General features: G+C 41.3%; 1 protein-coding gene across 18 annotated transcripts in view; it reads left to right on the top strand.

The window, feature by feature from the left end:
* HHAT (hedgehog acyltransferase) overlaps nt 1–15253 on the top strand; it is a 348963-nt gene that overhangs the window by 17067 nt on the left and 316643 nt on the right. For 10 of the 18 annotated variants that reach the window (XM_047424804.1, NM_001122834.4, NM_001170564.3 and 7 more), the window contains one exon: nt 4539–4672. The exons of the other annotated variants lie outside the window; for them this stretch is intronic. In XM_047424804.1, coding sequence (XP_047280760.1) covers nt 4582–4672 — 91 coding nt within the window. In that variant the 5' untranslated portion in view covers nt 4539–4581. The remainder of the gene's footprint in view (nt 1–4538; nt 4673–15253) is intronic. 18 annotated transcript variants of the gene reach the window in all.

Genomic DNA, 15253 nt, shown 5'->3' on the forward strand with positions numbered 1-15253 from the left:
TGGGTACTTGGTTTCCTCCCACATCCCACAGCTGTGCCCATTAGGTGAATTGGTGTGTCTAAATGGTCCCAGTGTGTGAATGTAACTGAGTGTCCTATTAAGTTTTTCTGTGATGGCATCAAATGCCTGTTGATGCTCATCTGTCCAAGGCAGGGGGCTCTGAATCTAGTCCCTTTTAAAGGCCTCATAAAGTGGCTTAGCCATCAACCCCAAATTTGGAATTCAAATTCAACAAAAGCCAGACATTCCTAGAAATCCCTGCAATTGCCTCCCGTTTTGGGGAGCCTTTGGGGCCACTGTTATCTGCTTTCAGTAGGGTCTTTAGGCTCCTTCAGCCTGAAGTCGAGGTTCCAGAGACTAGACCTTGAAATAGTACAGGCACCTGTGAAAATCTCCCCTACCAGGAGATGGCTTTGAGGGTACAGTTAATTTACAACCCAGCTGAGCCCCAGATGTTGCCAGCCCGTTCACAAGATGGAGCAACAATTCAAGACGAGTCATCGGAACAAGTCATGCCGGCATCGGAACAAGTCATGCCGGCCTGCACTGCCTCACCCCATGCCGCAACTTGCTTCCCCTTCTTAAACCTTTGCACTTTGCTTGGAAATTTGAAGTGGTTCCATTAAGGCAAGAGTCTAGACCGTCTTCCCCATGGCTAGCTTTGGTCTGTAATAAAGTCACTTTCTTTCTGCCATACCTCTATCTTGCTAATTTGTTTTGCAAGTGGTGAGCAGCTGAACCTGTGTTTGGTAACGAGTGTGGGGGAGTGAGTATGAGTGGGTTCTGCGCTGGGATGGCATCCTGTCCAGGGCTGGTTCCTGCTTTGCATCCTGAGCTGCTGGAATGGGCTCAGCTACCAGAGACCCTAAATTGGAACAAGTGGGGTGGAAAATGAATGAATGAATACAAATTAATAAAAATTTGTAAAGTCTATGATAATCATACAAATGCATGACAAAAAAAATGTAGTATGAAAGCGCTCAGTGAGCCCACCCTAATTGTAAATGTTTTGAACTGCATGGTGGCAGGAGGTGCTCCTTATAATTTTTGCTTTGCAAACATTTTATTCCTTGGTTTAACCGACCACCATCACAACTGCCATCACTTGCTGATTCACCAAACTTGGGTAAATAATGATCTTACCTGTGCTTATTAATCTTTAAGTGTATGTGTATAGCTCTTGTTTATTTCAGTGTTTACTATTAGAAGTGTTTTGGTCTTTATTTAGATGTATGATGTTTTTGTGACCAGAAATATGCAGTAGGAACTTACTTTTTGCTTATATCAATTAGCCTATTGTAAAATTAGTAGCATTATACATTGTTTTGTTTAAAGTTACAATTTCCAAGACCCTACTGGTGATGTTCAGTAAGGACTCACTGTACAATCCAGCTAAGAGCAGCACTAAGCTGGGTGCAGTGGCTCACGCCTGTAATCCTAGCACTTTGGGAGGCCACGGTGGGCGGATCTCCTGAGCTTAGGAGTTTGAGACCAACCTGGGCAACAACAACAATAAAAAACTAGCCTGGCATTGTGGTGCATGCCTGTAATCCCAGCTACTCAGGAGGCTGAGGCAGGAGAATTGCTTGAGCCTGGGAAGTTGAGGCTGCAGCGAGCTGAGATCATGCCACTGCACTCCTGCTTGGGCAACAGAGCAAGACCCTGTCTCCAGGAAGAAAAAAAAAAAAAAAGCAGCACCAAAATGAAAAATTATTAAACCGAATTTTCTAGTTCCCTGAGGATTAAATCCTTAATGCAGGAGGATTGTCTCAGATAGAATGTCCCTGAAAAGCATCTAATGGCAGGCCTTCTAAAACTTTCATTCAGTCTACAAGATCATTTGTGTTCAAATTTCAGTCGCCCAATTAGGAGATCAGCTTTTTGCTAATCAGATTCTTCATGAGGCAAAGAGGTCATCCGATGTAATACCAACATCTTTTGACAGGCGAGACATTAAATTATAAGCCAAGAAGTTAAAATTACCTTCCCACTAAAGGGAAGACTACCAAATTCCTGAAAAGTTCCAGAAAGGAGTCTTGTTATTCTAAAGATGAAAGTATTTAAAAATAAATTGTGAATAGAAATGGATAAAGCTAGAAGCAGTTCTGAAAAATAGTAAGGAACTTGAGAAAGTGTTGTTGAAATACTAGGGCTTAGGCTTGTGTTTTAAAGCATGAATGATTGCTTCTGGATCTCTTAGGTTGCAGGAAAAGTCCAGACCAAACTTTCTGGGTGACTTTTAGGTAACGAAATGGGGCACTCTGGGTGCAAGACTGCTTATTTCTGAAATCGTGGTTTATCAAGGCTGAAGTTTATTTCCCTTCCTGCTCTGTCTCCCAGTGGTCTGAAGAAAGGAGTTTGTGTGTGCGGCAGATTCTAAGCCAGGCTCTAAGTCTGAGTAACTGTACACTGGCATTAATGGGATTGGCCATGGCAGAGTGGAGGGGCAGGGGCCTGGGTCCAAAGACTTGGCTTTGAGCCTTGGCTCAGTTATTTACTTATTTGTTTACTCACATATTTAGACAAAAATTGTACATATTTATGGTGTACAATGTGATGTCTAGCTATACATTGTGAGATGATTAAATCAAGGTAATTAACATACCCATCACCTTACCTGCTTATCATTTTATGGTGAGAACATTTAAGATCTACTCTTAGCACTTTTCAAGAATATAATACATTATTGTTAACTATAATCACCATGCTGTATAATAGATCCTCAGAATTTATTCATCCTGTCCAACATCTTTTAACCAACATCTTCCCCACTTCCCCCGCCCCAGCCCCTGGCAACCACTTCTGTGAGTTTGACTTTTTTTAGGTTTCACATATAAGTGAGATCATGCAGTATTTGCTTTTTTGCTCTGGCTCAGTTATTTCTGGCTCTGTGACCTCATCACATTTGTCATCTATAAAATGCCTACCTCCCCTGTTCCACTTCCACCTACTTCACCAGGCTGTTGTGAAAACAAAATGAGATAATGTGTGAATTCTGGGGTTTGGCATGACTGTCACATGTTAGAAGTACTTGGTGGGGTTGGTGGGAGGTGCTGCTTAAAATTTTGCTCTTATTTTGGCATCCACAATGAGACATACTTGAGAGGTTTAAATAAAGCAGTAAAGGCCATAAATGCGTTTAAATTTAGTGAACTCTTTGTTACTTGGAACATTTGGAATCATTTAATTTGCTGAATTTTAGGACCTAACTTTCCTATACCTTCTCTATTACTTAGAGTATAGTCATGGCTGCCATGATGGAGAGATCTAGAATAGGAGAGGCTTAAACAACCTAGAAATGCATTTCTCTTTCCTGTAACAGTCTAGATCTAAGTAGTCTGGGGCACTTTGGGGCTTGGGGGTGGTACCTGGATTTGGGGACTGAGAGGCCTCTGTCTTGTCCATGTGGCTTTCACCTCTTCATCCACGGAGGCTGTTCCAATTCTGTTCAACAGGAAAGGGAGGGAAAGAAAGAGATGGCCACAGCCATGTCCCTTCACTCACACCCTTTTGAATGGAGCTATTCAGGTGTCCACACTTAGCTACAGTGTAGTGTTGGTGTCCAGAGGAAATTTTAATTGATGTGTAAGAAGAGAGACTGAATTCTGAAAAGGGGTAGTGAGGGGCGGTGGGTAACAAGCAGTGTCTGTCACAGATGTCTGTGATTATGTCATTAACTGCCCTTTAAGAAATGTACAGATGAGGCCTGGCACAGTGGCTTGTGCCTATAAACCCAGCTACTCAGGAGGCTGAGGTGGGAGGATCACTTGAGGCCAGGAAATCAAGATCAGCCTGGGAAACATAGACCCTGTCTCCAAAAATACATAAATAAAGTGCATAGATGCATGGCAGACAGCTGATTTTAAGTTTTTATTTTATTATTGCTTTTAGAGAGGGGATCTGGCTATGTTGCCCAGGCTGGTCTCGAACTCCTGGCCTCAAGTGATCCTCCCATCTTGGCCTCCCAAAGTGTTAGGATTACAGGCATGAGCCACCATGCCTGGCCTATAGTATGATACTTGAAAGGGACAACAAGGATGGTGAACCTGTTGATTTAGAGGTTTGTATACTGTTTGTGCTTTTCAGACTTTTTGAAGCCATTTATTATTCACAGAGCACCTGGTAGTCCCTTCTTGCTACATCCCAGGCACTGTGCTAGGGGCTGGTGAGTCAGAGATCATGGTCCCTGCTATCTGAGGGTCCACTCCACAGAAGAGACAGGCATATTATGCAATGGGTAGAGAACTGTCTGATGTATACTCTGATGGGAGACTGTGGGAACTCCTAGGAAAAGACCTGACCCCTTTGACAGGCAGGATGCACATGTGTGGTGTATGTGTGCGTGTGTGTGTGTGTGTGTGTGTGTGTTGGATGCAGGATGGAGTAAGTTCACAGGGAGGAGGAAGCTTGATTGGGGTTATGTCTGTATCACCTTGAATAGTGATGGGTCTCCGGGAGTGTGAACTAACTGAATTGATGTTTAGATGCTGTTCTCTAGTGTCATGTTCATGGCTTAAAGTTTTGTCTCTGTTTCTCAGAAACTCTCAGCGTAGGCATCGGGAACCTTCGTGCCAAGGAGCCATGCTGCCCCGATGGGAACTGGCACTTTACCTACTTGCCTCACTAGGCTTCCACTTCTATTCCTTCTATGAAGTTTACAAAGTCTCCAGAGGTAAGGCCCCAAGCTTTTCAGACCTCCTATCAAACAAGGAAACTCCTGTCAAAAAAAGGAGCAGAGGTGGAAGATTCAAGAAGATGATCCAATAGTGTCAAGATGATGTGGGCCTTGATTTGCTTCCCCATGTCTTGGATAGTTTGAATCAGTGACCTGAGTCCATTGAGTTTTCTACCCTAAACCTAGGTCTTTTAGGTGATGCTGTGGCTTGTCTTCTATAATTGGTGGGTTTGATTCAAAAGCTATTGAAGGCCGTGGAGGGGATTTGCGTTCAGAATTCAAAGTAAACTCTTAAATTTCTCTTTCATCATTACTCCTCTGAGACATATTAGATCTGGGTTCGTTTTGTCTTCTTCTGTCATTTTTAGTGTTGCCTTTGTCTGAGTGTTGGAGATAAATCATCATCAGGTCACATTCCAGCCCAAAGGAAGGGGAATGGGGGCCCTCCTTTATTTTAGCGGCAGTTTGGCAAGGAGCACTAGTCACTCCTGCTCACACCCAACTGGCCAGCACTGAGTCCCACGGGCACAGCTGGGAGGCTGGGAAATAGTCTTTAGGTTGGTGGCTATGTGCTACCTAAAACTTTTTTTTTTTTTTTTTGAGACCTAGTTTCGCTCTTGTCGCCCAGGCTAGAGCAATGGTACCATCTCGGCTCACTGCAACCTCTGCCTTCTGGATTCAAGCAATTGTCCTACCTCAGCCTCCTGAGTAGCTGAGATTTCAGGTGCCCACCACCACGCCTGGCTAATTTTTGTATTTTTAGTAGAGACGTGGTTTCACCATGTTGGCCAGGCTGATCTCAAACTCCTGACCTCAGGTGATCCTCCTGCCTCAGCCTCCCAAAGTGCTGGGATTACAGGCGTGAGCCACTGCACCCTGTAGCTGGGACTACAGGAGTGCACCACCATGCCTGGCTTTAAAACTACTTTTAAAAAATAAAGTATATTGAAAATGGGAGGTGTCTATTCTTACACCAATACCATAATGTCTTGATTACCGTAGCTTTACATTAAGTCTTGAAGTTGGATAGAAGTCTTCTAACTGTTATTTGTGTTGTCTATTCTGGGTCTTTTGCCTGTCTGTATAAACTTTAGAGTCAATTTGTTGATATCTACAAAATAACTTTAGCCATAAAATAAAGATGTTTATAGCAGCTTTATTCATAATTGCTAAAAATTGGAAGCAATCAAGATGTCCTTAAGCAGCAAATGGACTAATAAACTGTGGTACATTCGGACAATGGAATTTGCCAGGATTTTCATTGTGGTTGCATTGAATCTATAGATTAAGTTGGGAAGAACTGACATCTTGACAATATTGAGTCTTCCTATCCATGAATATGGACTATTTCTCCATTTATTTAGTTCTTTGATTTCTTTCATGAGAGTTTTATTGTTTTCCTGATATAGATCTTATACATATTTTGTTAGATTTATAGCTCAGTATTTCATTTTTTGGGTGACAATGTAAATGATATTGTTTTAAATTTCAAATTCTACTTATTTCATTGCTGATATATAGGAAAGCAATTGATTTTGTTATAGCAATCTTGTTATTATAGCTTATTAATTCCAGGAGTTTTTCTGTCAGTTCTTTCAGATTTTCTACATAGGTAATCATGGCGTCTGCGAAGATGATTTTCTTTCTTTCTTTTCAATCTTATATACCTTTTCTTTTTTGTTGTTGTTGTATTGCATTAATTAGGGTTTCCAGTACAATGTTGAAAAAGAGATGAGAGGGCTTATCCTTGCCTTATTCCTAATTTAACTGGGGAAACTTCTGGTTTCTCACCATTAAGTATGACATTAGCTGTGGGTTTTTTATGGATGCTTTTTATCTAGTTAAGGAAGTTCCCCTCTATTCCTAGTTTTCTGAGAGCTTTTGTTATGAATGACTGTATTAGTTAGGGTTCTCCAGGGAAATAGAATCAATAGGCTACATATAGATATAAAAGGAGATTTATTACAAGGAATTGGCCCACACAATTATAGAGGCTGAGAAGTTCCATGATCTTCTGTCTGCAAGCTGTAGACCTGTGAAAGCCAGTGGTGCAATTCAGTTCAAGTCCAAAGGCCTGAGAACTGGAGTAGCCTATGATGTAAATCCCAGTCTGAGGGCAGGAGAGGATGAGCTGAGATGGTCTAGCTCAAGCAGTAGCCAGAAATAAGAGTGAATTCTTCCTTCCTCCTCCTTTTGTTCTATTTAGACCCTCAATGGATTGGATGGTGCCCACCTGCATTAAAGAGGGCAATCTACTGTATCTGATTCAAATGCTTATCTCATCAAGAAACACCCTCACAGACACCTAGAAATAGTGTTTAATCTGGGCACTCTTTGGCCTGGTCAAGTTGACACATAGCACTAACCAACACAATGGATGTTGGATTTTGTCAAGTGTTCTTTCTGCATCTCTTGATCAGTTTATTCTTCTTTAGCCTGGTGATGTGTTGGATTACATGATTTTTGTGTTCTGTGAGATTTTGACTTTAATATACCTGGACTGGACTCAGCTGGCATTTCTCCTGTTTCATGTATTGTCAGCTGGGGCTGCAGTCATCTGGTGGCTCGATTGGGCTCACTCATCCAGGGTGGCTCACTCACGTGGCTGGCAGTTGGTGCTGGCTTTCAGCTGAGAGCTCAGCTGGGGACTGTCAAGTGGAGTACTATGGTCCTCTCTAAATGGCTTCATGTGGCTTACATTTCTTACATTTATTACAGGGCAGCTGGGTTCCAGCTGTTGCACGTGCAGCCTGGGAAGTTATACAGGTCACTTCTGCCTCATTTATTGGTCAAAGCAAATCACAGGGCCAGTCCAGATTGAAGGGAAGGAAAGACTGCACCTTTTTACAGGTGGAGCAGCATGTAGAGGAAGAGTCTGATGGAGCCACCTCTGGAGTTTCTCTCTTCTATAATGGGTGTTATACTTCTTTACCCACATGAGGACACTGAGGCTCAAAAGTATTACTTGTCCAAGGTCATATATTTAATAATAGAAATAATAGAGCTGAAGCTTAAACCTAAGACTTTACAACTCTACTTCTTGTGTTGTGATAGCTTCTGGGAACGGGGCGAGGGGTTCCTTTGCGGATAGTACAAAACTTTTCTGCACCTTAACCTGTCCAGATGCTGTCATGCTGACCACCTCCTAGCCTGAAGCTTCTTTAATCCTTAATGCCTTTCCTTTTATTGTCAGTGCTGAAGTGTTTCTCAGGCCATTCCCAAGAAATATCTTCCTCAAATGCTTTTGCCAGTTTACCTCACGGGAGCCAGATCCCCATGCCATGCCTAAGTATGTTCAACTGATACAATGTTGAGCCTTCTTGGTTCCTCATCTCACTTTCTAATTCAGGAAAAAGTGCTACTTACCCACATTGTAGAAGTAGGTCACTGGAAAAATCGTCTTTACTCTGAACTTTTTTAGGGCATTCATGTCTGGAGCAAACGTGCTGCCTAGAATAGACTAGAGGCTCCAAGTGTATTTGTTCAGTGAAATGTCTCTGGTGGGCATCTGCGTGGCTACTCTCCTTGGGCACAGAGCAGGCATCTCATTCACTGCTGTCTCTATCAGCAGTAGTGGGGTTGTCACGTGGTTGGGGACAGCAGACTGATTTTAACAGCCTTAGTCAAATGGAATCTCTCAGCAAATCCACAGCAGGGACTCAACAGAATACCCCTTCTTCCCCCCAACTCTACCAAATTAGAATATCTTGAAGTCATATGGAAATATTGGGGTGGTGATAGTGATCCGCTATGCTGGCTGACCTCGCCCCTGGTGCTCTGCAGTACTGTGGCTAATCCACAGCTGTTGCATTAGGTTGGTGCCTTATGGTTTAGTAGACATAAAACTTTTTGTCTCTGTTTACTTTTTTTTTTTTTTTTAATAAGAGATGGAGTCTTGGTCTGTCACCCAGGCTGGAGTGCAGTGGCGCAATCTCGGCTCACTGCAACCTCTGCCTCCCAGGTTCAAGCAATTCTTCTGTCTTAGCCTCCTGAGTAGCTGGGACTACAGGTGCATGCCACCATGCCTGGCTAATTTTTGTATTTTTAGTACAGACAGGGTTTTACCATGCTAGTCAAGCTGGTCTCGAATTCCTGACCTGGGGTAATCCACTCCCCTCAGCCTCTCAAAGTGCTGGGATTACAGGCATGAGCCACCACGCCCGGCCCCTCTCTGTTTACATTTAATGTGAAAATGCAATGTACCATGCATCAGAAGGCTTGTGTGATAGGCCTTGAACGAATTGATGCCTCTGCCTAAAAGGATGCCATATATTTTTCTGGCCATGTCAATTTAATGCAATATTCGGAATAAAAACTATTGAATTCCCATCATGGAAAATCCCGGTGATAGAAGGAAGTCACCTGTTTTTTTTTTTTTTTTTTTTAAAAAAAAGCACCTGGGAGGGGAAGTCTTTGACTATTTCAGTTTACCACCTATTCGTTCTTATTTAAATGTTTTATTTCTTCTTGTACCCATCTTGACATTTTATAGCTTTCTAGGAAATCTATATACTTTATGTAGGTTTTCAGTTTGATTAGTATATTGTGGTTCTTAACTCTTACTTAAAAATTTTTTGGTGTTTCATTATTTTATATTTTATCTGCATCATCTTCACTCCCTTCATTTCCTCTTTCCACTTCTCCCTCCCTTCTATTTTTTCTTTCTTTGATCAACGGTGCCAGAGATCTTATTAATCTTTTCAGCATTTGGCTTTATTTTCTCAGTTGTTTCTTTTTGTTTTCTAACTCATTGATTTTTGCCCTTATCTCATTATTTCCTTCCTTATTGTTTCTTTAGGTTTGGTCTGTTCCTTTTTATTTCATTGTCATGAGTTGAATGCTTAGCTCATTTACTTTGTAAAGAATGTGTTTGGATTGTTGATTGTTTTTCTCAGAAAGATTTCTAGAAGAGGAGTTATAGAGTAAAACCACACAACCATTTTTCAGGTGCTTAATAGATGAACCCAGGCTGTTCTCAGGAAGGCTGGGCCAATTAACGCTTCCAAAGGAGGAGATCCATTTTTCTGTACTACTCTCAGCAAGTTGAGTGCTCTTCAATCCATCTCAAGTGTATTTTAGTATATGATGTGATATTTTTTCACAAATAGATAACTAAACATAATGTCTTTTTTTTTTTTTTTTTTTTTTTTTTTGAGACAGAATCTTGCTCTGTTACCCAGGCTGGAGTACAGTGGCACGATCTCTGCTCACTGTAACCTCTGCCTCCTGGATTCAAGCAATTCTCATGCCTCTGCTTCCTGAGTAGCTGGGATTACAGGTGTGTACCACCACACCCTGCTAATTTTTGTATTTTTAGTAAAGACAGGGTTTCTCCATGTTAGTCAGGCTGGTCTCAAACTCCTTGGCCACCCAAAGTGCCGGGATTACTGGTGATTATGATAATTATGATGCAATCTTGATCATGTACTGAGTTCTTTTGTTAAAATTTATTTTTATTTTTTATTTTATAAAAAGAGAGACAAGCTCTCTCTATGTTGCTCAGACTGGTCTCAAACTCCTGGACTCAAGCGATCTTCCTGCCTCGGCCTCCCAAAGTGCTGAGATTACATACATGAACAAGGGTGCCTGGCCTCACATATTAAATTCTTATATTCTGTTTAATTGATTTCTCAATCAATTCTTACATCAATACTGTGCCGTTTTAATTATTTTTGATTTACAAAATGCCTAAGTATCTGGAGTAAGTTATTAGTTATTGGTTCTTTGTTTTCAGATCTTTCTTAGGCTGTTCTTACTGGCTTATTCTTCCAGATATATATTTGAAATTGGCTACTTTCAAAAAATCATTAGGGTTTTAATTAGAATTGTAATAAACTTATAAATTAATTTGTAAATAATTGATATTTTTATAATGTGTCTTTCTATCCAATAATATATTTTTTCTTTGCTTATTCAAAATCTTTCATCACTTCCCTTAATGAAGGTTTGTGGTTGTCTTCATAATAGATTCTGCTAAAACTTAAGATTATTTCTGAGTCTTTTCCTTTCTCCTTTTGTGATTGGGATATTTTACAAATTTTCTAGCTGATTATTTCTGATCTACACTAAAGGTATTTATTTTGGTTTATGTATTTTATATTTCAGCAATTTATTGAATTCTCTTATGTTCCATTGGCTTGATTTTCCTTGTCCTTCTATTTAGATAATACCATCCACAGATAATGATAGTAGTTTTGCTTCATTTGTTTTTGCTTTGCTAGGACATCTAGAACAATACAATAGTTGAATGTTAACCTGTTTTAATTCTGACTTTAATGGAAATCTCTGTATAGTGAAAGGTTGAACAAGCTTTACTTACTTGTTTTTAAAAACTCATGTTAAGGAATCCTAGCCCCTTTAAATTGGCAATAAGTGTTGAATTTTATTTGTTTTTAAAGTACCTATTCCTTTTTTGACCTATTGATACTATATTTTAAAGTCATCAGTTTTCCAGAGGCAAACCATACGGATTCATTCCTATTACAAACCTACCGTGACCATGGTATTTTTAAACATACTGCTTTTTTCCCTAGGGTTAAAAAATATATGGATTTCTAAGTGAGAGTGGTTGGCCTGTAATTTTGTTTTGTCTCATCCCCAAATTTCAATCTTGATATCCTGTTAGCTTTATAAAACAACTGGAGAGGATTCCATTTTAAAAAATATTATGGAACTGTTAAAGTAGTATATGAAATGTCTGCATCAGTGTCTGATGTTATTCACTTCTAAGTTTGTCTAGGCATGAAATCTCTTTGGGAGTAGATTCATTGAAAACTTTTCAGTACCTTTCAGGGTTATTGGTATGTTTTCATTCTTAAGTCAGTTTGAGCAATTCATATTTTTCTATTTCATTATTATTATTTTTGAGACAGTGTCTCATCCTGTTGCTCAGGCTGGAGTGTAGTGGCTCAGTCCTAGCTCGCTGCAAACTCAAGTGCTTGGGCTCAAGTGATCCTCCAACCTCGGCCTCCTAAGTAGCTAGGACTACAGGCACACAGTACCACACTTGCACACTTGCTTGGCTATTTTTTTTTTTTTTTGGAGACAGGGTCTTGCTATGTTGCCCAGGCTGGTCTTAAACCCCTGGCCTCAAGCCAAATCCCAAAGTCCTGGGATTATAGGCATGAGCCACTATGCCTGGCCTGTGAAAATTATTTTCTAATGAAAAGCAGCTACCCTAGAACCTTCTGATTTTGCAGAGCCCAGGCACATCTTCTTTTATGAAGCAGCTATGTTCCTGAAAAGTTGCATATTAATGACATTTTTATAAATGAAATTGTGCTTCCCGTTGATTTGCGTTTTCATGTCACAGGCTTTTTTTTTCATTTTTTTAATATTCAGTGATATATCTGTAGTTAATGTTTCTTTAAATAAACTCTAGCACCGGGGAGCCCTCATATTTAAAGAGCTTTTGCTTTTTCTGGTGCGAAGTATTTATTTGAATCACTACTCCCTGTTTCTTTGTTTTTATATAGTTGTTCTTAAAGTGGGATACAGCTAGTATAACGGAACACATTCACCTTCTACCTTTTGTTTATTTCTTTATAAACCTGTGGCCTTCATTATTACTAAGCTCGATTTATGAAGAAAGGATACAGAAGCTCATTTATAGATTAGTTCTTTCTTTTACATTCTTCATGCAACATGCTAACCTCTTACGGGTCATGGGCTTTGTTAGGAAGTAATTTTTCCCACTGACTTCTGTGATTAGAGGAACGTGGTTGCAAGATGATCAGTAACTCTGAAGAACCCAGTCCAGGGTGGGAAAACAGAGGCCACTGGTCCTGTCCTTGAACCAGGTGTCCTTGCTCTTGGAACCAGGTGAGCTGACTGAGTATGTCTGGGGCCACCAGGGGCCCTTCAGTTTACAAGGCTTTGTGAAAAGACCCAATTGAACTTCTCCTGTAGGAGCTGGGAACTGGACAGCCTGTCTTGAAGCATTAACAGTGAGTGTTGTGGAACAACCAAGGCTCCAAACATTCTGTTTGGTGATGCTTCACATTATATTTGGCTGTGGTTTCCATTGTTATCTATGGCCAGGGTCTTAGGAAACAGTTGAATCACTGTCTTCCTATTGGAATGGATCCCAAGTCTTGTAGCCTATCCCTTCCTCCTTGCACTGGCATTTTCCTCCTGGGTTAACACTGGTCCTTCAGGTAGGTGTTGGGGGTTCAGGAGCACTACCTCAAAACATGGCACCTTGGCATTTGAGAAAACAGCAGAAGCAGGAAAGTTACTCCCAACCTTTCTCCCCTGAAGCAGGTCATAAAACTCTCATGTGAGAGGTGCCTTCTCTATACACAAAAGAAGGGAACATCCTTATCTCAGAAGATGAAGGATCACACAGAAGAAATAGGTCTTGCTAAGTTCCCCTCAGTTTATTACCATTAGAACATACTCACTTTATCCAAATCTATTTCTCCATGACTGTCCAATCTTCATCAAACCTAGCATTAAAATACACAAATTTGGCTGGGTACGGTGGCTCACGCCTATAATCCCAGCACTTTGGGAGGCCGAGGCGGGTGGATAATGAGGTCAGGAGATCAAGACCATCCTGGCTAACATGGTGAAACCCCGTCTCTACTAAAAATACAAAAATTAGCCGGGTGTGGTGGCGGGCGCCTGTAGTCCCAGCTACTTGGGAGGCTGAGGCAGGAGAATGGCGTGAACCCGGGAGGTGGAGCTTGCGGTGAGCCGAGTTCGCACCACTGCACTCCAGCCTGGGCGACAGAGTGAGACTCCATCTCAAAAAATAAAATAAAATAAAATTTAGCCATTTCTTAGTCTTCATTTCCTTACTAAGGCTCCTGTATCATGTGAAACTTACATTAACTACATTTGTATGCTCTTCTCTTGTTAATGTGCCTTTTGTTATAGGGGCCTCAGTCATGAACCTAAGAAAGTTGGAGGAAAAATATTTTTTTATCCTTACATAGGAGAGTGTTGGCTTCCAGGTAATCTGCTTTCTTAAGACTTCTAATAAGCCTCCCACAATGACATGGGGCAGAGCCTAGGCTAGAGAGCATTTGTGGGCAAGCCCTAGTGTTAGACTCCACAGCTCCTCATTCCTTCTGTTTCTCAGCTGGTGCTCCATGTCAGACCCCTGAACATGCACAGAGCTTATGGCTTACTCTTGGCTTGAGAGTTTCCATTTCAGTCCAGGGTGCTTCTACTTCTCCCAGAAGCTCTAAAGTTTTCCATGCAAATTAAGCACCTGGTGGTCTGCCCCTGCAGACTCAGAATTTCTCAGGTGAGTGGCAGATGAGCAGCCCCATTTGGGAGTTTTGAAGCACATTTATGCAGTGTCTCCTTTTACATCCATTGACATATCTGATTTGCTTTTCCTTGGGTTATTTCTAAATCACTTTTTTATTCCTCAAGTGGAAATTGGAAGAGGAAAGAAGGAGCCCCTAGGCCTCCAGAGTGTCATGAAAAGCCACCCCCTTTCTGTAGGATAATCTGCAGAAGAATATTTGAGAGTTGCTTACCGCTAAATTCTCCTATCATTAGAAGCCCGTCTTTTCTGTGCCCCCTTCCCATTCTCAATGACTACCACAGTCTATTGTACTCATGGCTTCCTGGAGAAATAATCAGTAGGAGCTGATTGGAGTTTTGCCAATGTATAGAAACAGCGGGGCACGTGCCCCATGACTGGGTGTGCTGCTCCCTGGCAGTGGCTTGTGTCAGACTAGGGTGTGTGTGTGTATGTGTTTTCTTCTGATTATTGCCCTCTTACTACACACACCCCAGAATTAATTTCCCATCAAAATGCTGAGAGTGAAAAGGGGTAGGTTAGTTAGAGGTTTTAAGTAAATGGTTTACCACCACAGCTCATTGGCAGCGATTAAAATGCAAATCCTCTCACTCAGTAGGTAGGATGGAGCTTTGATGTATCCTTTTGTGGAAGGGAAGAATCAACAGCTGACATGGTAATCAGGACTCATCAGCAGAAATTGCTTCATTTCTATGCTCTCAGGCAGTTTTGTGGAGCACTGAATTTGGGGAAATAGAACCAGGGCACTGGAAGAAAGAGCAGGTTCTGCCAGACAGTCCTGTGTGATGGGGAGAGAATTCCCAGGCACAGAAGGCTTCTTTTCTGTTTGTAGCAGCCTCTTGCTTGACTGTATTTGACTTAGGATAAAAACTCCAGTTCTGCTCAAAGAATGAAGGTCTGAGGTCCCTCCCTAAGAATAAAACTGCCTGTGCCAAAATTATAAATATAACTGCCTTTGTAGGACTAACAAATTAGTCATAAAATTAGAAATTATGGCTTAGGAGTTATGTAGCTAGAGGCCACAAGATTCTAAACCATCCCAATTGCTCCTAGGGAGAACATCACTATTGTAAAACCTAAGCTTGGTGCTTGAGATATTTTGCAGACTTTGTACTGGAGAGATCAGCTGGTGCCACCCAGATCGATGAACTGGCTCATTTGATCTTGCGGCTCCCACTCAGGAACCAACTCAGCACAGCAGGACAGCTTTGACTCCCTATGATTTCATCTCCGACCTGACCAATCAGCCCTGGCCCTCTACCTGCCAAATTATCCTTAAAAAACCCCAGTCTCACAAGGTC

This window comes from Homo sapiens, chromosome 1 (assembly GCF_000001405.40).
Source record: "Homo sapiens chromosome 1, GRCh38.p14 Primary Assembly".
NCBI classification, from domain to species: Eukaryota; Metazoa; Chordata; class Mammalia; order Primates; family Hominidae; genus Homo; species Homo sapiens.